Source organism: Homo sapiens, chromosome 7, assembly GCF_000001405.40.
Source record: "Homo sapiens chromosome 7, GRCh38.p14 Primary Assembly".
Lineage (NCBI taxonomy): Eukaryota > Metazoa > Chordata > Mammalia > Primates > Hominidae > Homo > Homo sapiens.
In genome coordinates this window covers 13,024,248-13,048,311 of record NC_000007.14, presented here as the reverse complement: position 1 = coordinate 13,048,311, position 24,064 = coordinate 13,024,248, and the positions used below count along the sequence as shown (strand labels likewise).

Genomic DNA, 24,064 nt, shown 5'->3' with positions numbered 1-24,064 from the left:
AAATGTTCAGCCACAAAATACCAGTATTCCCAATGTAACATAATATTTATCTCAATAAATAAAACTTATCCTAAATTTGTTTTTGAGTGTTAAAGTGCTATATTGGTCTTCCATTACCATGGTTACCAAAATAATCTAAACAACAAAAGTAAATTTCAATTTTCCTTCCAATTGTTGTCACTCTGTCCTTGGCATAGAACTCCCATTGACGGTGTAAGAAGCTGTATGTGTGGGAAAACCATGTGGCTATTAAAAAGAGAATAAATAATCATTCTACCTAATTCCTGTTCTTAGGGTTCCTTTACTAAACATTAGCTTTCTAAAAGCAATAGATGCTCCTAAACAGAGGGAAATGGCAAAACAAAATGCAATATTACTTACAGAGACTTCACTCTCTCCCTTTCATTTGGCTTTCAGCATATTCTAAGACAAATACTGTTACCATCCATTGAATTTTTCTTTCACAAAACATCACAATTAAAAACTACATACGAGAGTTAAATTAAGAATCAAGTCAGTCAACAAAAAAAAAAACTATTTATTTATATAGGTCTATTCATACAGATAGATTTTATATGTGTATATGTATAAACAAATAAACATACATGAGGATCTATATAAAATTATATACCATCACCCAATGCAGAAACTCACTCATTAAATAAGTAAATAACATCAGCCTGAGACTGACGTTAAAGTGACAATTGTTTTTAATATCCAAATATCTTTTCAGTACCTCATCAGGATCTCCTAGGCAAAAGCTGTGAGACAGATGATGCCTGGACATGAAATTTTAAAAACCAGGGTGAGAGCCAGAAGTTACCATGCTGAACATGCTAGAGGGAAGAATAGCCACAGAGAAGGTGATGATGGCATTTCTAATACCATAGCAAGCTAAGTTTAAGAATTTTCTTCTATGCTTTATCTTAAAGTCCTTTATTTACTAGGTATATCTATCTTTAGGGAAGTGGTTGTCAAACAATGGCAATATTGTCTGGGGACATTTTCTTTGTCACGACTTGGGGGTAGGGATAAACAGAGTAGTTGCTACTGGCCTCTAGTGGGTGGTGGCCAGAGATGCTGTTAAATACCCCACAATGCACAGCACAGCCGTGTAAAACAAAGAATTATCTGGTTCACATTGTCTATAGTGTCGGTGTTGAGAAATAGAGCCCTAGCTCAAGGATAACAAAAAGTTTCAATCCTACGTCACTGTAATCTGTAAGAAAGGTTTTGAGGCTATTTCTAACTATGAAGAAAATAATGTTGGTATTTTCATGATATCTGACATGGGTAAAGGATCAAGATAGGAGGAATATTTTACATTTATAGCCTGGGTTCTGTATATCTAAGAGTTCTAATTGCTTTTCATGCATCCAATGACTAAGAACCTAAGAGCTTACTATTTGAAATAATTCCTCATCTTCTGTTTACTCATTCTTCCCTATGTGTCTTGGCAAAGAAAATTTACTTGCGAGTGGTCAAAAATGTGTGGATTTTTTTTGAGTTTGGAGGTGTTTTGTTTGTCTCTGAGCCTACAAGAGTCCTGCATCATAACCTATTTTCATTCTGATTTCCATGAGCCATCTTTTACATGTATTCATAAACATCTGAAATTCTACCACTATTGTTCACTGTACAATGTGATATAGCAATGAAAATGACACATTTGAAATTGTAACAAAAAATCATTAGGCTCAATGTCTTATTTTATATGTTAGATCACTACTGGTGGTTTAGATGTTTCACATGCTAGAAACAAGACAGAAATTGACACGGTCAAGTTTAGCCATTTCTAAAAAGTATTTTCTAGATTATACTTATTTACACATAGAATATAATGCAGTTTCTTTACCAATCATAGAGCATAACATATTTAAAACTATCCAAAAATAACACCCTGGTGATGACGTCCAAAGTCTAATATGTTTACTTTCCTGAAGCAGCAAGCAACAAAAACACGTTTTTCAGAAAATGATATAACATATGTCAAGATGGGCTGGTAATTATCATCAGCTTTTATGTTTAATGGTGATAGGATGTTATTACAGCCGTCATTATCTACCAGTGTCTTATAATCAAGTTTAAACATAGTCTCAGGGTAGCAGAGCCCAACTCTGTGATTTAGCAACAGGGAAAAAAGTGCACTTCATGAAAGGTTTTAAACATACCAAAGAAGAAAACAAAGTCACTTACACAGAGTTACAACTAATGCTCACTTCTTCCTGGGTTTCTCTCCCTGGCCTTAATGCCTGCAGAAAAGCAGTCTCTTTGTAGTGTTTACACGTATCATCACTTCTATGATTATGAGATCATTTTTTCTCCTCAAATTTTTTCAGTGATTTTTCTGTGTCTCAGAATAAAGCAAACATCCTTATAATGGTCAATAAGGTCCTGCATAATCCAGCCATTCACTGACTTAATCGACATGTTTCATTCTTGCCTATTACTCTGTTTTAGCTTCACTGGCCTCCTTGCAATTCCTCTAAAAGAGTAAACATGCTCCTGCCTCACGAACTTTAATTTCGTCCAGTCTTGGTCACCCTCTCTCTTCCCTCCCTGCATCATTTTTCTCCATGGCGTATATTCTCTTTCCTGTCATGCTTCCTCCTATGTAGTCTGAATAAATTTTGCATTAATCGGAAACTTTTTACCTTACGTATTTTCACACCATTGCATATAGTGTACTTAAATACCGTTACTGACATCTGAATGATCTAATCTGAAATAAATCTAAGCCATTATTTAATCACAAATCATTCTTATTTTCTTAATTTCCCTTATGCACATAAACTTTCATGAGTTTCCATAAAATGCAATTTTTTAATGTCAGCTGAAATAAAGAGTATACAGTAATTCAACAATCACATGAGGGTAAACATGAATGACTTTGTTGTTATTCTGCCTTTCCTCTCTTTGAGTTGCTTTTTAATTATTAAATAAAGAAAATGAATTTATTTTGTGGATATTTATATTTCCAGCACCTTGCACCGTGCCTGGCACATATTGGATAATTAATGAATGTTAGTTACATTAAACAATGTGTAATTTAGTAATATAATTACTTAATAATTAGTAATTTTAATTAGTAATAGGATAATTTCTAAATCCATCTTTCAAACCATGCACTCTATAATTTTTTGTCTTTCCCTAGTTTCAAAAATATGTAAATATTAAAACAAGCTAATTCCTATGATCTTTCTGTTTTCAAAGGCATACTGATTAACTTTTTCACTTTCCAGTTAAATTCATTCTTTACAATGATGTCAACATCTACATATCTCTTAAAATGATATGTGTTCTCATTGACATCACATAAATATACTACAAATTTTCCGAACTTGGGGACTAATCTTTTAAATAAAATTCTATGCCAAAGAAAAAGCCAGCGTTTCTCTGAGTTTCTAAAATTTAAAAAGGGCATTCAACCAATTTTAATTTTAGAGTTACACATTCTGAGGCTGTGACAAGTTTAACTTAATATTTCACATTTTGGTCTAAACTGTGTTGTTTTGTAAATTGTAGTAGATTCACAGGGCTGCTGTAACAAAGTAACACAAACCGGGTGATTTAAAATTACAGAAATTTATTGTCTCACAGTTCTGAAGACTAGAAGTCCAAAATCAAGGTATCAGCAGGACTGTGCTCCCTATGAAACTTGCAGGGGAAAAATCTCCCTTGTCTCTTCCTAGCTCCTTATGGTTTCTGGCAATCGGTGTTCCTTGGCTTGCAGCTCCCATCTCTGCCTCTGTTGTCACATGGAGCTCTCCCCTTGTGTGTCTCTGTGTCTTTTTCTCATAAAAATACCAGTCCTGTTGGATAACAGAACCACCCTACCCGAGTATGACCTCATCTTAACTAATTATATGTGCAATGACCTCATTTACAAATAAGGTATCATTCTGAAATACTGGGAATTTCAATATATCTTTTTTGAAGACACAAATCCATAGTATAATCATTTTCCTAAAGATGGTAAAAATTGTAAGTCAAGACTTCAGACGTTAGTAAGAGCATTTCATTGATTCTTGCAGTAAAACGTGTTTGATAACAAGACAGGAGAAAGGTATTCCAGACTATTCCCATGGCACGTATGTTTAAAGCCACAGTGTTGTACAATTCATGGTGAATCTGAGGAATTATGTTTTGAAATAAATGAGGCAGAAAAACTGGTTTCAAAAATAATAGAAAATAATGCCTACAGAAAAATCCAAATAATAAATATAGAATTAGTAAATTTGTTTTAAATCACCATTAAATACCACAGTAATAATTATTGCAGTGAAGATTCACTGATTAATGCTAAAAATTAGTGAATAAAACTTTAAGAAGAAATAGATATTTACAGAAGAGTCTCAAATACCTCCCTTAAATCATTTATTCATTACCACGTGGTTTTGACACAACTTTAAACTTTGATATTCCTTCCTCCTTCCAGGTGATATAGCATAATTCTCTCTCCATTAACTGTGGGCTGAACTTAGTAACCTACTTCTAATGAACTAAGTATGGAGAGGGAAAAACTGTAAAGCTTACGGTAGAGAAACCTGACAGACACTGCCTTACAATCAAAAGATCAAGGTGAACGTCACCAGTCATAAGTCATGTTGATATCATGTACCCCTATACTATGTGATGAGAAGGGCACCTGGCCTCTGTGATATTCTTCCCCAAATTCCACAACCCGAGTCTAATCATAAGAAAACCCCAGTTAAGGTACATTCTGCAAAATACCTGACCTGTACTCTTCAAAAGTGTCAATGTCTTCCACGACTGAGATACGTTCATATATTGCCAACCAAGGAGACATGACAACGAAATACAACATGGACCTGTGAATTCAATCCTGCAACAGAAAATGGAAACCAATGGGAAAACTGTTGAAATCCAAATAGAGTCTAAAAATCCTACAAATGTTAATTTTTAAATTCTGTGGTTATATGAGATGTTACACAGGGGAAGAAATGTGAGAAATACACAAGAACTGTCTGTGCTGTCTTTGCAACTGCCCTGTAAATCTCAAATTATTTCTGAATCAGAGGTTCTTAAAAAAAAATAAAAGAATGGAACAACAATTTTAGTAACATTAGTATAAGTAAGGGAATCCTCTCCCCCAAAACTAGTGAAAACCTGGGAAAAAATGTAATATCAATTTCAGGGCTCTAGCATTTGACCAATGGGAAAGCACACATTGAGAAGTGTTTACACATACAAAGCTGCTAGATCTCTGGCTAATAACAATGGGAATCTACAGTCCCATCCTTGCTGGGCAGCATACAGCACAGGCAGAAGGTATAATCCAACTGTGAGCAGAGTGTAAAACCAAATGTCTAGTAGTGTTGTCAGTGAAAGTAACAAGTTCAGTAGGAAACAAATAGTAAAACCTGTATCTCTGCAACCATGAGGTTACTGTCCCAATTGGGACAAGCAATGCATGATCCAGAAATGTAACAGGGACACCCTGTAAATAAGAAAGCCATAGAAAGAGTAGGTAAGCACACATTCCTGGCTGACTCAGAAATTACACATATTTGCAGGAGAGATCCAAGGGCCTGGCAGAAAGTAAAAGCTGAAACAGACTTTAAAGTTGCTTGAATTTTGAATGTTTTTCTTTTACCTATACACAATTACATTGTCAAATAGAAGCCTCATAGGTTTGAGGCATTTGACTGTAAGTTCTGCCCAAACCATTGGTTAATCACATAGCAGTGCCTACAAGGAAATGACCCCTGGAAATCAGGAATTAAAAAAGAAGAAAAATATTGTAAAGAGATATAAATAGCTGAATACCATGGCAAGACAGATCCCACAGTTTAAGTACAGGCACAAACAAAATCACAAAATAAAATAATATCCAAAAACCTTTAGAAAAAGCAATCAAAATCCAGTCTTACTATAGTATATCACATAAAATTGTCCAGCTTTGACCAGAAACTTAGGAGTGATGTGGAAATGCATATTTGAAAAGCATATGGAATAAATTAGTCAATAGAAAGTGATTTTGAGTGGACCCTATGTTGGATTAAGCAAAGATTGCTACAAAATAGTTACAAAGTAGCTATTACAAATACATTTCAAAAATTAAGAAAAACTACGTTAAAATGAGTAAAGGATAATATGCTGACAACGATTCAAGAAATAGGAAAATTCGATGGACAAACAGAACATATAAACAATAAACAAACAGAGAATCCAGGATAGAAAAGTGTAACATTTAAAATAATCCACAGGCTGGGTTTTTTTGTGAGACAGAGTCTCGCTCTGTCGCCCAGGCTGGAGTGCAGTGGCGCGATCTCGGCTCACTGCAACCTCCCACTGCCGGGTTCAAGCGATTCTCTCACCTCCGCCTCCTGAGTAGCTGGGACTACAGGCGCACGTCACCATGCCAGGCTAATTTTTTCTATTTTTAGTAGAGATGGGGTTTCACCAGGCTGGCCAGGCTCATCCTGAACTCCTGACCTAGTGATCCGCCCACCTCGGCCTCACAAAGTGCTGGGATTACAGGCATAAGCCACCGCACCCGGCAGGCTGGTCTTAAATACAGTTATGAGGTAGCCGAATGAACCGTCTTCCATTTATGATTCACAGTTCTTTGAAAGCAGGTGCCAAGTACTTGCTTCATATTAAGCTTAATTTTTATCCCTCTTTGCATTTACAAAGAAAGTGGCAGAGGACATAATAACAAAATGAGACTACACACACATGCACACACACAGACACACACACGCACACAGACACACACACACATACAGTGACAATGACAACCATCACGAACTAAAAACAGAAATCTGAAGGCTATAAATAGGTTAAGGAGAGATGTGGCATGTGGCAGAGACAGACAATAGTGACCAATATTGATTACAAAGTTTTTAAAAATCATATGTCTTAACGTATTAAACACTACATAAAGTTTTTCATGACTTTTTTTTTTAAAAAATATTTTACTGAAACAAAAAAATAGTGAGGATCAAGGTGAGAATTTCTGGCCACGTAATATATAAAAGTTACATAATAAGAGATTTGCCACAAACAAACTTCCCTTGTTTTATCACTATGTAGTATGTGGACCTAACTGTGTCTTGACTGCAATTAAATGAATTAAAATAAGCCAACATATAGGTGAATTAAATTTTTCATCACAATACTTGTAAAAAAAACTTTTCTATGTCAGATGCTAACACCTAAAGAATGTGAAAATCTGAGTTGCAATGTTTTTTATTTCATTTTGCTTTTGTATTGTTTTCTTTGCCCTCTATTTTGAATTCTAAAATTTCAAAATAACTTTTGATGATACAATTGATTTTTCTCTCTAGTTTGTTGTAAGACTAACTTAATAACACCCCTTGCTATGAAATCAATTTAAACTTATTGCGCAGTGTTATATTAATAAAGAAATGTCAGTTTTGCCTTAATTATTTCTTTTCTTTTATTTTTATTTATTTATTTATTTTTTTGAAACAGAGTTTTGCTCTTGTTGCCCAGGCTGGAGTGCACTGGCGCTACCTCAGCTCACCACAACCTCCGCCTCCCGGGTTCAAGTGATTCTCCTGCCTCAGCCTCCCAAGTAGCTGGGATTACAGGCACGTGCCACCACGCCCAGCTAATTTTGTACTTGTAGTAGAGACGGGGTTTCTCCATGTTGGTCAGACTGGTCTCGAACTCCCGACCTCAGGTGATCTGCCCACCTCAGCCTCCCAAAGTGCTGGGATTACAGGCGTGAGCCACCACACCTGGCTGCCTTAATTATTTCTATATTAACTTTTAGTTTGATACTTTGTCTCCTTCTAGAATTGGTTTGCTGTATTGTTGTTTTCTATCTATTTTTGTGGTTGCTGAATATCTCATTTTGATTTGCATGTCAACAAAGAGAGAGTCCAAATTCTTTTTTTCATCTCTTATCTTGAAATCTTGCAGTAAATGAAAGATATGTTGATGTGAATTTGGCTTTAACCTAGACAACCAGAACTATGGTTGTCTAGGTCAAAACACAGACACATGTTCTCCATAAATTCTCACAGGTTAAAGTAATCTTACATAAAATCTCACAGGTTAAAATTATTTCATGTGGCACAGACAAGCTGATGTTTGCTTTATTTTCCTTCTACAAATGAAACCACTGCAACTTGGGCAAATGCTAAGATAGCAGGCAAGAGTGGTATTGTTCCATTAGACTTATTTTGTTTTCATTCTAAACAATATATCAGATGTGAGTAGCAGACAGGCTCACAGATTAGGTGAATGAAAGGACACATTATCAGCAAAGGTAGATATGAAATGAAGCATTTTTATCTAAACATCATTTAAGAGGAGAGTTCAGTATCTCAAATTTAATTTCTTTTCTTTTAATGAATCTGTAATCATTTTAGAAAATAGTACTGGTCAAAGAATAAAACAGAGACATGAAATACACCAATTGTGCATCATCATTACTTCAAATTATAATCACCATGTAGTGGATCTGGCTCTCAATTTATTTCTCAGTTGTGTAAGAAATAAAACTTAATTTTATAAAATTATTTTAGTTCTTAAACCCATATCCACTACTGGAGTGGTAAAAATCTAATCTCAGTCAATCTTGGATTCCCCATTTTCCCAGGTCAGTTCTAAATTCCAGGATCCATACCTAGTTTTAAAGGATTGGAGAGGAAGGAACTACCTGGTTCTCAAATGTCTTTTCTGTTATCTACAGAATAACAGAAAATTTTCGCATATCATCATGGAGATCTTCCTTTTGGGTGGTGACCTGGCCTCTTCCGATCCAAACAGTTTTGCCCACAATGGAAATCCCTGGGTGATGGAAATCACGTTGCATTCTCCATGCTACTCTAGGGCATGACCTACACTCTGATTGTGCCTAAAACCATCTGCCTGAACTCATTATGCAGCCAGTCTAGGTCTCACTATGTCCCTGAAGGCAGAGAGTGCACTTTTCTCTCAGATCTCACAAATATTGGGTTTTGCTGCTTCCTTTTGATCACTTTATCTCTCATTTCCCTCTCCCAACTAGGGCAATTTTTTCTGTCAATCAGGTACTGGGGAGTATAAAATTGCATAGGTGAGGAAGAGAACCTTGACCCTCCTCAAACACAAAATTTTCAAATATGTATTCATTAAATTAAAAAAATATAGTTCCTGTGCAAGCAAAATTGGCATCACCCAGAACTTGTTAAAAATTCCATACTCCCACCTATGAATTAGAAACTTTAAAACTGGGGGAAGAGATAGTGTAATCCATGATTTAACAAGCTATCCATGTGATTCTAAAGCATGCTACATTTGAGAGCCACTGATTTATTCCACTCTAAACCAAGATTGGCTTTATTCCCCTAAAGGACATTAGCTTTTAAATATAAAAATCATTAAAAAGAAGTTACTTTTTTTTCACTTTTTATGTGATCACATCTGTCTCCTGGGTTCATAAAGGATAGAGTATTCTAGGTGTTTGAAGAGGAGGCAGCACATGGGGAAAACATTAATTATAAGATTAAAAAGACACACTGGTAGTATTTCAAATACATTGCCTCCCTAAAACCTTCATGAAAACTCAGGACAATCATCTTTAATTGATTAAAATGATTAAAGCCGAAACAAAATTTAATTTAAATTGATTAAAGCAGAAAAATATTAACACCTTTTGTAGATATGTTCTAAGTTGTCTATTAACATGTAGGTTGATGAGGACATGTTGCTCATCTTGATGACCTACATCAGGGATTTTGAAGCTTTAATATGCCCAAGAATATTTTAGGAAGGTAATTTTAAATACAGATTATCAGGCCTGACTTTATGGTTTGTGGTTCTAAAATCTCAATTTTTTTAAACAAAGGCCATGAGTATGCTTTAAGTGGTTCATGGATTATAAGTCTAAGAATATTTAAAGAGTCCTTGCCCAACACTATACAGTTTTATATGTACATGCGTATTTACTACCAAATCACTTTACCTCTTCAGAAAAAATTAAGTACAGCATATTTTATTTAAATATTGCAAAACTTCAAATATTGTTGAGAAACTATGCATTCGATAAAGTTGACTTTTCTTTAGAGTTTAATAATTATTCTTCAGTAACAGAACTTTTAAAAAAGAGCCATTTTAATTGAACTTGTTCCCTTTCCTTCCAAATGGAGATGAACAAAACAGTAGCTTTTTCTTAATGACTTGAAGTCAGGGACTCTGTATTTTTACCATATATCCAAAAGTGATTGGTAGAATGCCTTGTATATAGTAGATGTCAAGTAAATGCTTAATAGTTGAATACAGAAGTGTTCACATTGAGAGCTATTAGGCTTTTCAAAACTCTGGTAATGTTCCTTGGCTCTATTAGGATTCACGAATATTTGAAATATTTCCCCACATGGTTTCACTATTCACAAATTGAAAAATCCTCCCTACCCCCAGGCCAGGCATAGTGGCTCACACTTATAATCCAAGCACTTTGTGGGGCCAAAGCAGGTGGATCACATGAGGTCAGGAGTTTGAGAGCAGCCTGGCCAACATGGCGAAACCCCATCTCTACTAAAAATACAAAAATTGGCCTGGCATGATGGCATGCACCTGTAATCCCAACTACTCAGGAGGCTGAGGCAGGAGAATCACTTGAACCCAGAGGCAGAGGTGGCAGTGAGCCGAAATTTTGCCAATGCTCTCTAGTCTGGGTGACAGCAAGGCTCTGTCTCCAAAAAAAAAAAAAAGAAAGAAAAGAAAAAAAGAATCTTCCCCAAATCTTTCTGGAACTTCAGATAACATGCTGACAGGGTAGCAAATATTTCCTCCACTTGTAAGTTTCTCTGAGTGTTCAAAAACCAGCTAAACATGCTCAGTAGAAGTGTTTATAACTTGTATAAACAGGCTTTGATAAAGAGCTTGCAGTCGTGGACATAATATCCAATTTGCCTACTTAGAGGATGGTGCTTCCTTTGTGGCTTTCCACCATGTTCTAAACAAAACTTTCTTATACAGATGACATTATTTTAAGATTATCTCACTTGGGAGCTAATACCAGATTTGTTGAGTAGTCATAGGAACTGACTATGAGGCTTTCCTGTAAATCTTAATGATGTTACATGGTTGAAGTGTTTTTATTTGTAACAAGGAGGCTGAGAAGACCCCAGTATCTTTAAAATACAGTGATGGTCATCCATAAACAAGATACTAACTACCTACTTGTTCCTCATATGGATAGACTGGATTACATTTTTTCTTTAGGAATTCAAATGATACCTATATTATTTTAGAGGATGAAAATATATGACATTGCTTGCATTCTCATTCTCACTTTCTATGGAAGTACCCTATCACATTTTCACATAATCTATTATTATTATTAAAAGACCTATGTATAAGCACAGGAGAATTCACTTTGAGTTAGGTTGGATGAATTGGGGAGATGAAATTCTTTCTCAGGTGTTGGGATAAGAAAATATTACATAAAGGTCTATTAAATGCCTACTATATCAAGAACCATTATAACCAATAAACACCCAAATAACATAAGCAAAGGGGAAAAAAAAGGAAGAAAAGGCAATGTGTTAATTCAACTGAAAAAGAGCAAGATATGACTGCCTTTAAGTAAAACCTGCCTGATCTGGTAGCTAAGCCCATAAGACTGAGGATAGATTTTTTTCTATTTCTCTTTTCTGTCTACTTGTGATGTTGTTACATTCTTGGGAACTTTCCACTGCAGTCCCAAGATGGTCACCAGTTGCCCTTGTGACTCCATGAGAGAGGAAGACATTATTTCCCAGCATTTCAGTAAGGATTTCCAAGGTTCATTTTGATTGCATCAATGTAGAGTTTAAGTCTATCCTTAAACCCTAAGCCAGCTGGGGGCTAACCTATAGCTGTTGTGTTAGTCCATTTGCACTGCTATAAAAAAAAAATCCTTGAGAATGAGTCATTTATAAAGAAAAGAGGTTTGTTTTGGCTCATGGTTCTGCAGGCAGTAAAGAAAGCATGGAGCATTTTCTTATATTTTATTTTATTTTATTTTACTTTATTTTTTATGTATTGTATTGTATTGTATTGTACTGTACTGTATTGTATTGTATTGTATTGTAGATGGAGTCTTGCTCTGTTGCCCAGGCTAGAGTGCAGTGGCGTGATCTTGGCTCACTGCCATCTCTGCCTCCCTGGTTCACAAGATTCTCCTGCCTCACCCTCCTGAGTAGCTGGGATTACAGGCGCATGCCACTGCACCCGGCTAATTTTTGTATTTTTAGTAGAGATGGGGTTTCACTATCTTGGCCAGTCTGGTCTCAAACTCCTGACCTCGTGATCCACCCGCCTCAGCCTCCCAAAGTGCTGGGATTACAGGCATGAGCCACCACACCCAGCTAGTGCCTTTTAATTAAAAGTTCCAACTTTAAGTTATTTCTTTGTTCTCACATCTAAACACAGGTTGTTAGAAGCAGCCATGCCACATCTGAAATGCTCTGCTGCTTAGAAATTTCTTCTGCCAGATACCCTAGGAGAGCAGTTCCCAGCCTTTTTAGCACCAGGGACCTGTTTTGTGGAAGGCATTTTTCCACAAACTGGTGGTGGGGGAATAGTTTCTGGATGAAACTCTTCCACCTCAGATCAGGCATTAGATTCTCATAAGAAGTACACAACCTAGATCCCTTGCATACAGAGTTCACAACAGGGTTTCACATTACTGTGAGAATCTAATGCCAACACTGATTTGACAGGAGGCAGAGCTCAGATGGTAATGCTTGCTCACCTGCTGCTCACCTCCTGCTCTGCAGCCTGATTCCTAACGGGCCACAGACAGGTACCCATCCATGGCCCATGGGTTGGGGACGCCTCTCCTACATCATCACTTTTAAGTTCAGCCTTCCACAGATTCCTAGGGTATGGGCAAAAGGCAGCCAAGTTCATTGCTAGGGCGTAACATGGGTGACCTTTGCTCCAGTTCTCAACAAGTTCCTCATTTCCATCTGAGATGTTCTCAGCCTGGACTTCGCTATTCATATTTCTATCAGCATTTTGGTTACAACCATTTAACAAGTCTCAAGAAGTTCCAAACTTTCCCTTATCTTCCTATATTTTTCTGAGCCCTCCCAACTCTTCCAACTTCTGCTTGTTACCCAGTTCCAAAGCCACTTCTAAATTTTCAGGTACCTTCATAGCAACATCCACTCTCAGTACAAATTTTCTGTGTTAGTCCATTTGTGTTGCTGTAAAGAAATACCTGAGGCTGGATAATTTATTTTAAAAAGAGACTTATTTTGGCTCATAGTTCTGCAGGCCATACAGGAAGTGTGGTGTCAGCAACTGCTTCTGGTGAGGGTCAAAACACAAAGGGGGACTGGATGTATCAGATGGTGACAGAGTAAGAGACAGAGAGGGGAGGTGCCACACTCTTTTTCAACAATCAGATCTCAGGTGAACTCAAAGTGAGAACTCATTCATTACCATGAGAATGGCACCAAGCTATTCATGAGGGATCCACCTCCATGACCCATACACCTCCCACCAGGCCCAACTCCCACATTGGGAATCACATTTCCGCATGAGATTTGGAGGCAAGAAACATCCAAATTATATCAGCTGGTATGTAGTGAAACAAATCAGATGAGATGGTGGGCTTACCAAAATGGAAATCAGAATACTGATCCCAAAAGTATGGTAATGCCAGTCAGTGAAATCACAGATGTCTGCCACTTTGTCTAGGTCTTGCTATATATATATATGTGTGTATATATATATACATATATATGCTTTTTATGTAAGGTAGTTATCATTTTTATTTTAATAAAATTAAAATTCTAATTTTATTGAGAAGAAAATTGAGGGTTTTTTTTAAATTGTGGTAAAATATATAACATAAAACTCACCATTTTAACGATTTTGAGTGTACAAGTCAATCACATTAAGTACATTCCCAATGTTGTTCAGCCATCACTGCCATCTGTTTCCAGAACTTTTTCATCATTCCCAACAGAAACTCTGAACCACTTAAATAAAAACTACTGATTTCCCAGTCTCCCCAGACATTGGTTTGCCTAGTTGAGGTACCTTAAGTAAATGGAATCATACTATATTTTTCATTTTTTGTCTGACATACTGCACTTACCATGTTTTCAAGTTTCATGTATGTTGTAGCATGTATCAGAATTTCCTCATATGACTGAATAATATTCCATTGTATATCACATGTTATTTATTCACCTGTAGATGGACATTTGTATAATTTTCGCTTTTGGGCTATTGTGAATAATGCTGCTATGAATATTTGTGTACTAGTGTCTATTTCAATCCCTGCTTTGTTATCTTGAGTATATCTAGAAGTTAAATTGTTGAATCATGTGGTCACCCTATGTTAAGTTTTTGAGGCAAACTGTTTTCCACAGTAGCTGCCACTATTTCATATTCCCACCGCCAAGGCACAAGGATTCTAATTTTTCACATCCTCACCAACACTTGTTATTTTTCCTTTTTTTAATAGTAGCCATCATAATGGATATAAAATGATATATTATTTTGGTTTTATTTCCATTTTCCTAAAGACCAGTCAAAGTTGAACATGTTTTATGTGCTTTTTGGCCATTTGTTTATCTTTTTTGGGAAAATGTGAAAATTTTTTGCTCATTTTAGAGTTGGGTTTTCTTTCAAGAAAACTGAGATTTAAGGAATATGCAATTTGCCCGAGATTGTCCGATGTAAAGTGGCAGAAATAGCATTCAAAATCCATGGGATAGTTTCTCAAGCCCTTGCTCTCTTTATAATTCCACCAGCCCTCCTAGTAAACCAGTGCATGCTTAGTTAAAGTTCATTCTCCCTGACACTCTGGGATTAATCCAAGAGGGAAAACAAACATTTATAAATTATAATAGCTGCTGCTCTCACTATGAATATTTCTCAAATAACAAACTCAGACTTTGCTGCTATAAAAATGATAGGCACACCTCCAGGTAGTGGCCCAATTTTATTGTTGTTTTTTTTTTAAAGAAATAAAAGCTCTTCAAAAGTTACTTTTTTATTTAGGTAACATTTTCTTTTCACATAAAATTCCTGCTACCACAGACATGTTTTTAGGTAGTTTCCCTAATGGGGAAGTACACAAATGGGTACTAAATCTCTAAGTGCAGTGTGTAGAAAGCACACTATTGAAAAATGAGGAATAAAGAAAACTCTCCTATGAAATAAACAATAATAAACACAGACTCAGTTTTTTCTTTGCTTCTCTTAGGTTTTCTATATGCGGGAAGAAATCTATATGCAATCATGGATTGTATTTAAGAAAGCTGTTTGAAGCTGAGATTGTTGTTTCTTGTCAAGACAAAAACCAGTTGATGTAATATATATGTAAATGATTGATTGGTTTTATATCATCTGTGGGGAACTGAGATCATCTTTTTATATGGAAATAAACATTTTTTTTCGGGAGAGAAAGCCAGCTTGATTCTGGCTGTGGAGACACTAGTTTAAAAGGACTTTGATCCTGGTGCCCAGGAAAAAAGAATTATAGTGCATCACAGAAAGACTTGCTCAGGCTTTAAAGAAGGAGGCCACAGAAGAGTCTCATTTACAATTGCTGCCTGAGAGTCTCCAGACAACAGTGACTCTCAGGGTGAATGAGGAGGCAGCCTCTCAACTGCTCCCCAGCAGGTGGCAAAAAGACGTCACCTCATCCATCTGCAACTGAACAGGGTTATAGCATGGTCTGACATCCTTTGCCAAATTCCCATGAAAAAAGTGACTATTATCAGAGCAACAGTGAAGAAGGTCACTGGAAGGGTAATTAGAAACTCACAAAAGGCAAAACAGTACAACAAAAATAAGGTGATAAAATAAAACATTGCTTCCAAGAGTGTTAACGAACAGTTTGGGCTATTTTTAACCTGCATTTTATTTTTCAACTCTAGTTATAAGTTTAAGAACTAAATTGGAACCCACTCATTTGGGAAAACTGCACAAAAAAGCATTCCTGCCTTCATTGTCTACAGTCCAAAAGAGTTCAAGTCAAGCATGAAGGTGGCCAGGAGACAATGTGTCCTTAAGGAGAGCATCACACAGCTAAGGGAGGCCAAATCTAAAAAGCCTTTCAGCAATTTGATCTGCAAAGATCCCTTCCAATTGTTCTATCCATTGATCTTTGAAACTACTTTTCATCATGTAAAATTCTTCGCAGCCTCTCTGGAATGATGCTTGCCTTTCCTTTTTACCATTCCCTCTCAATATTGTCCCTTTGTAGAGACAGCTCCAAACATGCGGATAAATAAAGGCCTCTGAGAATCTTCATCAGCAGACATCTGTGTTTGCAGGAAGAGCATCATTAAGCTCTTGTCCTTTACTGATATCTTTTTTAAACTGATGATCAAAGTTGATAAACACGTGGCTTTAAGTTAGTAGACACTGATTTTCTACCCATAACTCAAGGATATCAATGCAAAAAAAAAAAAAAAAGTGTGTTTTAACCTGAAATCACCCTGGGCATTTTTGAAAGTCAGCACATAAACCTGTGGCAAAGAACTTGGAACATATGAATTGCTGCCATCACCCCAAATACTGGAATTGTTCTCCGAACTTTTTATGAGTCACACACAAAAATTAGTCTCATCATTTCAATTAACCCAGTCTTGATCAATCACCTTATTCATCAGGTTTGGCTCCAAATGCCTGTTTTCTCAAATTGAATTCTTGGGCAACTGGTGAAGGTTATCAAGCACTGACTCATTGTGGATATGTTTGTAAATGCCACTGGCGAATTCCAGATGAATATCTCAAAAATAAGAAGAAGACAACGTCTTTTGGTGAATAAATATCTATCTTTCAATTAGGGATTACTTTGAAGTTAGCTCACTCTATTTTACTATCTTACTTTGAACATAACATCAAGGATTTGTGGGGGGATTTGTGGGGTACACTTTTATCTTAGCACTAAGCCCAATTCCGCTTAAACATACAGATGACACTCTAGGTTAGCACTAATGCACTTGGTAAAGTTTAGTCAAGAAAAACGTATTTGCCATTTACCAAATCTAATTTGGAATATAGTAATGATCCCACTAATTTTGAAATATAAATTTATAGCTAATAATAATAATTAACATTTATTCGGTGTTATAGCCCAGCTGATTTTTGCTAGATATGGGATTAAGGTGATTTATGTGCATTTGTACCATTTGTACCACAACATATTATTTGTAATTATTGTGCCTGTGTTACAGATGGAGGAAAAAACAAGGTTTTACAAATTAACAGAGAAATAAAAATAACTTGGCAAAAGTTGGTAAGCTATTTAAATACAGGCAGTGAGGCTCCAGAATCCATTCTCTTAATTATAATACTATATTTCCTTTTAAATTTTGTGGATAATTTATAATAGAATGTTAGTATGAATACAGAGAAGACAGATTTATTCCTATATTCCTTATTTTCTTCCTATAATCTCCTTACTGACTTTGACCTTAACAAATAGACACTTCCATTCTTTTAAGATTTTGAATATAAACCGATGATTATGTAAATCATTTGTTTTAAAAAAACTCTTATGTTAATATTGTTTTAAATATTTGCTATATATTTCACTTGTCTGTCTTACGCCAGTTAAAGTTTTATTAGTTTGGCAAGTTCATATATCACATTTTTCTAGCTTTTACAATTATTTGGAATACATAATAAACCTGATGAGCTCTGATTAAGGTTTTGAAGCACAGAGAAGTGGGTTATACTTCTAAAATACTTGGTGTCTTTTGCGAGTAAAACCTAACTAGATTTCCTTGCTCTAAGTTCTACATTTTGGGAAGCAAAGTAGTCCAGGTAAGTGGAACATATATGAATTTGATGTCTGACAGTTCTGAGTTCAAGTTTAGATGCTGATACCAGCTACTGTACTTGGACAAATTACTTGCCTCACCTTTCTAGTCTTAATATAAGCCTAACATCACTTTTTATCTAAGCCTAAAATCACTTTTTCTTTCTAGAGAAGTAAATTAGATTTGTGTAAGTTGCCACCATGATATTTCTTCATTTGAATTAATAATTTTTAATGCTGGGTGGCTAATGGTGGGTGGAAAGGGAGTGTCTTTGTTTCTTTTTCCAGTAAAATACTACGCTGCTCGTCCTGGTCAGCATTTATTTTTTGTCTTTTTGATAATAGCCATTCTAACTAGAGGGACATATCTCATTATGGTTTCAATTTGCATTACTCTGATGATTAGGAATGTTTAACATTTTTCATATACTTGTTGCCCATTTGTCTGTTATAAAAAATGCCTACTCAGATCCATTGCCCATTTTTTAATCAGATTATTAGCTTTCTTTGCCGTTGAATTGTTTGAGCTCCTTGTATATTCTGGATATTAGTCCCTTTTCAAATGTGTAGTGTACAAATATTTTCTCCCATTCATAGGTTGTCTCTTCATTCTGTTCACTGTTTGCTGTGCAGAACCTTTTTAGTTTAATATAGTCCCATTTATCTATTTTTGTTTTGCCCGTACTTTGGAAGTCTTACCCACAAAATCTTTGCATAGACCAATGTTGGTAGGAATGTAAATTAATATATCCATTATGCAAAACAGAATAAAATTCATCTAAAAACTAAAAGTAGAACTACCACATGATCCAACAATCCCACTACAGTGTATTTATGCAAACAAAAGGAAATTAGTATATCAAAGCAATAAGTGCACCCTCATGCTTATTGTAGCACTATTCCCAACAGCCAAAATATGGAATTAGCCTAAATGTCCATCAATAGATGAATGGAACAAGAAAATATGGTACACACACACACACACACACACACACACACACACACACACAACGGAATACTATTCGGGCATAAAAAAGAATGAAATTCTGTCATTTGTAGCAACATACATCAGCCTGCAGGAAAACTTTTTTAAGTTAAATAAGTCAGGCACAGAAAGATAAATGCTGCATCTTCTCATTCATATGTGGGAGCTGAAAATGTTCAGTTCATAGAAACAGTAGAATTGTGGTTACTAGAAACTGGAAAGGGTGGAGGGGAGAGGAGGATAGGGAGAGGTTGGTTAACAGATATGAAATTGTAGCTAGAAAGAAGGAACAAGTTCTAGTGTTCTATAGCAGTGCTGGGTAAATATAGCTAACAATCATTTATATTTTCAAAAAAGTAGAAGAGAGGATTTTGACTGTTCCCAACACAAAGAACTAATAAGTGCTTGAGGTGATTAATATGCTAATTACCCTGATTTGATCATTACACATTGGATACATGTATTGAAATATCACTTTGTGTCCCATAAATATGTAGTGATTATGTCAACTAAAAGTAAAAAAATAAAAAAACTGTGCTAGGGCTTATAGTCCAAAGAAAATATACTTTCCTTCCTGTTATCCTGTTTGTACTGTTTTTCATATGCCTTTGTAGTCTGCAGTATCTCCCATGAGATTAATTTAATGCGCTTTTCAACAGCCCTTTTGTATCAATAACAAAAACATTAAACACAACCAGATGTAATAGCATCTCCCCAAGACGTCCTGACAACCATAGTAAATAGCTCCTTTGCTCCATCTCCTGTTCCTTAAGCCATGATAACTTCTAATAAAATTCTACTCCTAGGGATCAAAAATTAAAGGTCATTCTGTGGATCTAGATTTTAAAAACCAAGGAAAGAAATGTTCAAAGAAATGCTGAGACTGGCCTCAAGAGATTCAGATTTAGAATATTCCCAGGTTATCACTGTTTCACAGAGCCTTCGGGGTGCCATGCTTCACATAAAATACTGTGGAACCACAGATGTCCCATCACATCACAGAACGAACAGGCAATGATGTCAGAAGCTAACTGTTTAGTAACACAACATATCTCAGGGTCACAATGGATTCCTCTCATTGTTTATCATTAATAAGCGAAAACACTTATCTTTTTATAATTAATTTTGGCATTAGTTTAGTTATGTTTTTGATTCAGGATATAAAATAAGAAAGAGAAGCTGAGTTTATTCCTTAAAAATAGAGTCTAAACATGAAGAAGTTTTAGAAACACCTCAAACAATTTCTAGGAAGCATAAGCAACGAAAGAACAGAAAACATCCTAATCATAAATTACATTGGCTCAGCTTCAAGGGGTGGAATTTTTTACATCATTTTTATTTTTACATTGTTATCACAATATCCCTGAGGTTAAACTCAGAACAATGGTCAATTTTGAAAGTAAACCACAGGATTGTTAATACTAACATGAGGTAGATTTTCTTGTTAAATCTTTTAATTAATATGTTAGCTAAACTTAAAATATCCTATTTTATTTTATAAAATCTAACTTAGAATAATACTTTGTGTATGAACTCTACTCAAAATGCTTTTGAGTGGAAACTTTAGTTCTTTCACATTCCAATTTATTAGATCCCCTTGTGAATATTTATTAATGTCTAGGTTAATATGTTAATAAAGAGTCTACTGAGAAGAGTCCATTAAGAAAATAGAGGACAGGGATTTTGTGTTTCTGGTATAAGTGTGAGGATATATAATTCTGGATATTTACAGAAAGATAAATCCTTGACAATAGTTTTACCAGAAAAAAAAGATAAAATTATTAGGAGTAGTACAAAGAAATATGTTTCAGTAATTGTGGTATTAGGTAATATTTAAAATAAATGTTGACCATATACTCCATAGCACTAGATTTGGGGAACACTGCAATTAAGTTTATGGTTACATTTTATAAAGTAGCAAATGAATACCAAGTTATCTTCAAATAATATGCATGCATTATTACAGGCCAGTATGTTATACTTGGATCTCTCTGATGAAAGTAAGATAAAACAAAGATTCTTTGTTACAGTTTTGGGGAAGTTGGCAAGAAATTACGCATCTGTTTCTGTCAACATTACAGTATTGGGGATATGTAGTTTCTACATTTCTATGGATGTTCAATGTTTATCCTGTTATCGATGCTTATTCTTTAGAATTATCCTAAATTTCTTATTTTCTTTTCTGTTGATATTGTAAAAAGTTTATGTTATAAGCTAATTTTTAAGGGGAAGCCATATTGTTTAGCCAAATGTAAACAAAAGTAGCACCCTGGACCTTACATATACCAACTGTGAAATAGATGCTTTTCTACTATCTTTGGTTTCACTTAACGACAGAGAAGCAGAAGTCAACATTACACACTTTCAGCATATTTTCAAACAAAGCTCTCATTGTATGCATAATATTAGGTAAATGACTACATGTGTTGGATATGGAAGAGATGTAGGAATGGGCGGTTGGGTGCAGGTGAAGAAAGATCTGTATGCTAGGTACATGTTTAAATAAGCATATTTGATTTATACTTTATGCAGTAAGACGAAAATCTAGGCCGGTAGTGGTGGCTCACGCCTGTAATCCCGACACTTTGGGAGGCCAAGGTGGGCGGATCACCTGAGTTCAGGAGTTCAACACCAGCCTGGCCAACGTGGTGAAACCCCATCTCTACTATAAACACAAAAATAAGCCAGGCAAGGTGGCGGACGCCTGTAATCCCAGCTACTTGGGAGGCTGAGGAAGGAGAATCACTTGAAGCCAGGAGGCAGAGGTTGCAGTGAGTTGAGATCGCAACACTGTACTCCAGCCTGGGTGACAGAGTGAGACTCTGCCTCAAAAAAAAAAAAAAGAAGAAGAAAATCTAAAATAATTTGGATATACATTCATATTTGTATATATTTAGACAACATATGCATATAAGTATGCATATGTAATTATATGTAATGTATATGCATACATTTGTGAATATAGAAATGTGTCAAATTATATAGCTAACATCTATAAAAATACAAACTTTGTTCTGGGAATGTGTTCAATGCTTTACACATATATCATATTTTAATCTTTAAAAAATCCTTTAAGGTAGATCTTAATATTATCTGTTTTTATCAAATTAAGACATTTAGACTCAAAGAAGATATTTTTGGACTTCACACCACAAGCAAGCGGCAAAGCTAGTTTTAGAATTAATATTACCTTGAATCTGTTGCTCAGTGACTTAATTCCATTTACACAGAAATCACACAGAAAAAGATGAATGTACAGTTCTTAACTACAATTGATGTATTCAGGGTCTATCATAAAAAAAGAAATTTGACCCTCAATACTATGGTCAACTTCATATTTTTCTCTAACAGAGCCATATATAAGTGCTAGACTGATTATCAGGGTATATATTATTATAATAATACTATGTTAGGTATCATTTTATACCCAAGACCCAATACTGGTATCAATATTTCCTGTATTGATGACTATAATGTTGAGGTTCCTTACCCATTTGTGGGTTTTTTTTTCTTTTTTTTAATTTTATTATTATTATACTTTAAGTTTTAGGGTACATGTGCACAATGTGCAGGTTAGTTACATATGCATACATGTGCCATGCTGGTGCGCTGCACCCACTAACTCGTCATCTAGCATTAGGTATATCTCCCAATGCTATCCCTCCCCCCTCCCCCAACCCCACAACAGGCCCCAGAGTGTGATGTTCCCCTTCCTGTGTCCACGTGTTCTCATTGTCCAATTCCCACCTATGAGTGAGAATATGCGGTGTTTGGTTTTTTGTCCTTGCGATAGTTTACTGAGAATGATGATTTCCAATTTCATCCATGTCCCTACAAAGGACATGAACTCATCATTTTTTATGGCTGCATAGTATTCCATGGTGTATATGTGCCACATTTTCTTAATCCAGTCTATTGTTGTTGGACATTTGGGTTGGTTCCAAGTCTTTGCTATTGTGAATAGTGCCGCAATAAACATACGTGTGCATGTGTCTTTATAGCAGCATGATTTATAGTCCTTTGGGTATATACCCAGTAATGGGATGGCTGGGTCAAATGGTATTTCTAGTTCTAGATCCCGGAGGAATCGCCACACTGACTTCCACAATGGATGAACTAGTTTACGGTCCCACCAACAGTGTAAAAGTGTTCCTATTTCTCCACATCCTCTCCAGCACCTGTTGTTTCCTGACTTTTTAATGATTGCCATTCTAACTGGTGTGAGATGGTATCTCATTGTGGTTTCGATTTGCATTTCTCCGATGGCCAGTGATGATGAGCATTTTTTCATGTGTTTTTTGGCTGCATAAATGTCTTCTTTTGAGCAGTGTCTGTTCATGTCCTTTGCCCACTTTTTGATGGGGTTGCTTGTTTTTTTTCTTGTAAATTTGTTTTGAGTTCATTGTAGATTCTGGATATTAGCCCTTTGTCAGACGAGTAGGTTGTGAAAATTTTCTCCCATTTTATAGGTTGCCTGTTCACTCTGATGGTAGTTTCTTTTGGTGTGCAGAAGCTCTTTAGTTTAACTAGATCCCATTTGTCAATTTTGGCTTTTGTTGCCATTGCTTTTGGTGTTTTAGACATGAAGTCCTTGCCCATGCCTATGTACTGACTGGTAATGCCTAGGTTTTCTTCTAGGGTTGTGGGGGGTTTTACGGGTATATAAGAATGGTATGATCTACAACTCTCATTAACACCAGCCATCATAACAATTTTCAGGTGCAGTGAAAGTTAATATGACCTTAAATATCATTAAAATAATAATTATCAAGAACTAATAGAAACGATCCACTTTATAGAGATATGAACAATGGGAAGATACTTTGTACAAATTTTAAGTTATTTTTATGGACTAGGATGCAGGCTAGTTACACTTTTTTGGCTTCAGTCTGTTGTGTTAAAGAATCACTTTCAGAGGTTCATCAAATATAGCTTGTGGTCCTGTGACCATCTGACGTTAAGAATTTCAACAATATTCATAAACAAGGATATGCACATAGATGAGGAAATAAAATGATTGCTTTGGTTCTCTTCCCAAAACCATCTTGGCAAAGAAACTTTCACACCCCAAAGCTCCACATCTGCAATTGCAAAATAATTAATTTGTTGCCAAGCCATTGTGCATATTCCAGGATACCAGCCAAGATCTAATACTGGCATCATTAAGTGAAAAATATTGTAATGTTAAATACTGTATTTCCCTGCTTCATTTTGCCAATCATTGATGTCAGTAGTATCCTGTTCTTTAGGAAACTTAATTAAATTCTTTCATTCAGATAATCAACATTTGTGCTTCCAACCACTCTTTAAATAGAGTCATT

General features: G+C 35.6%; 1 long non-coding RNA gene across 1 annotated transcript in view; it reads right to left on the bottom strand.

Moving 5' to 3' along the window:
• LOC105375158 (uncharacterized) overlaps window positions 1–24,064 on the bottom strand; it is a 130,320-nt gene that overhangs the window by 13,686 nt on the left and 92,570 nt on the right. The window contains exon 2 of the long non-coding RNA XR_927044.3: window positions 4,740–4,846. This is a non-coding gene — a long non-coding RNA (uncharacterized LOC105375158). The remainder of the gene's footprint in view (window positions 1–4,739; window positions 4,847–24,064) is intronic.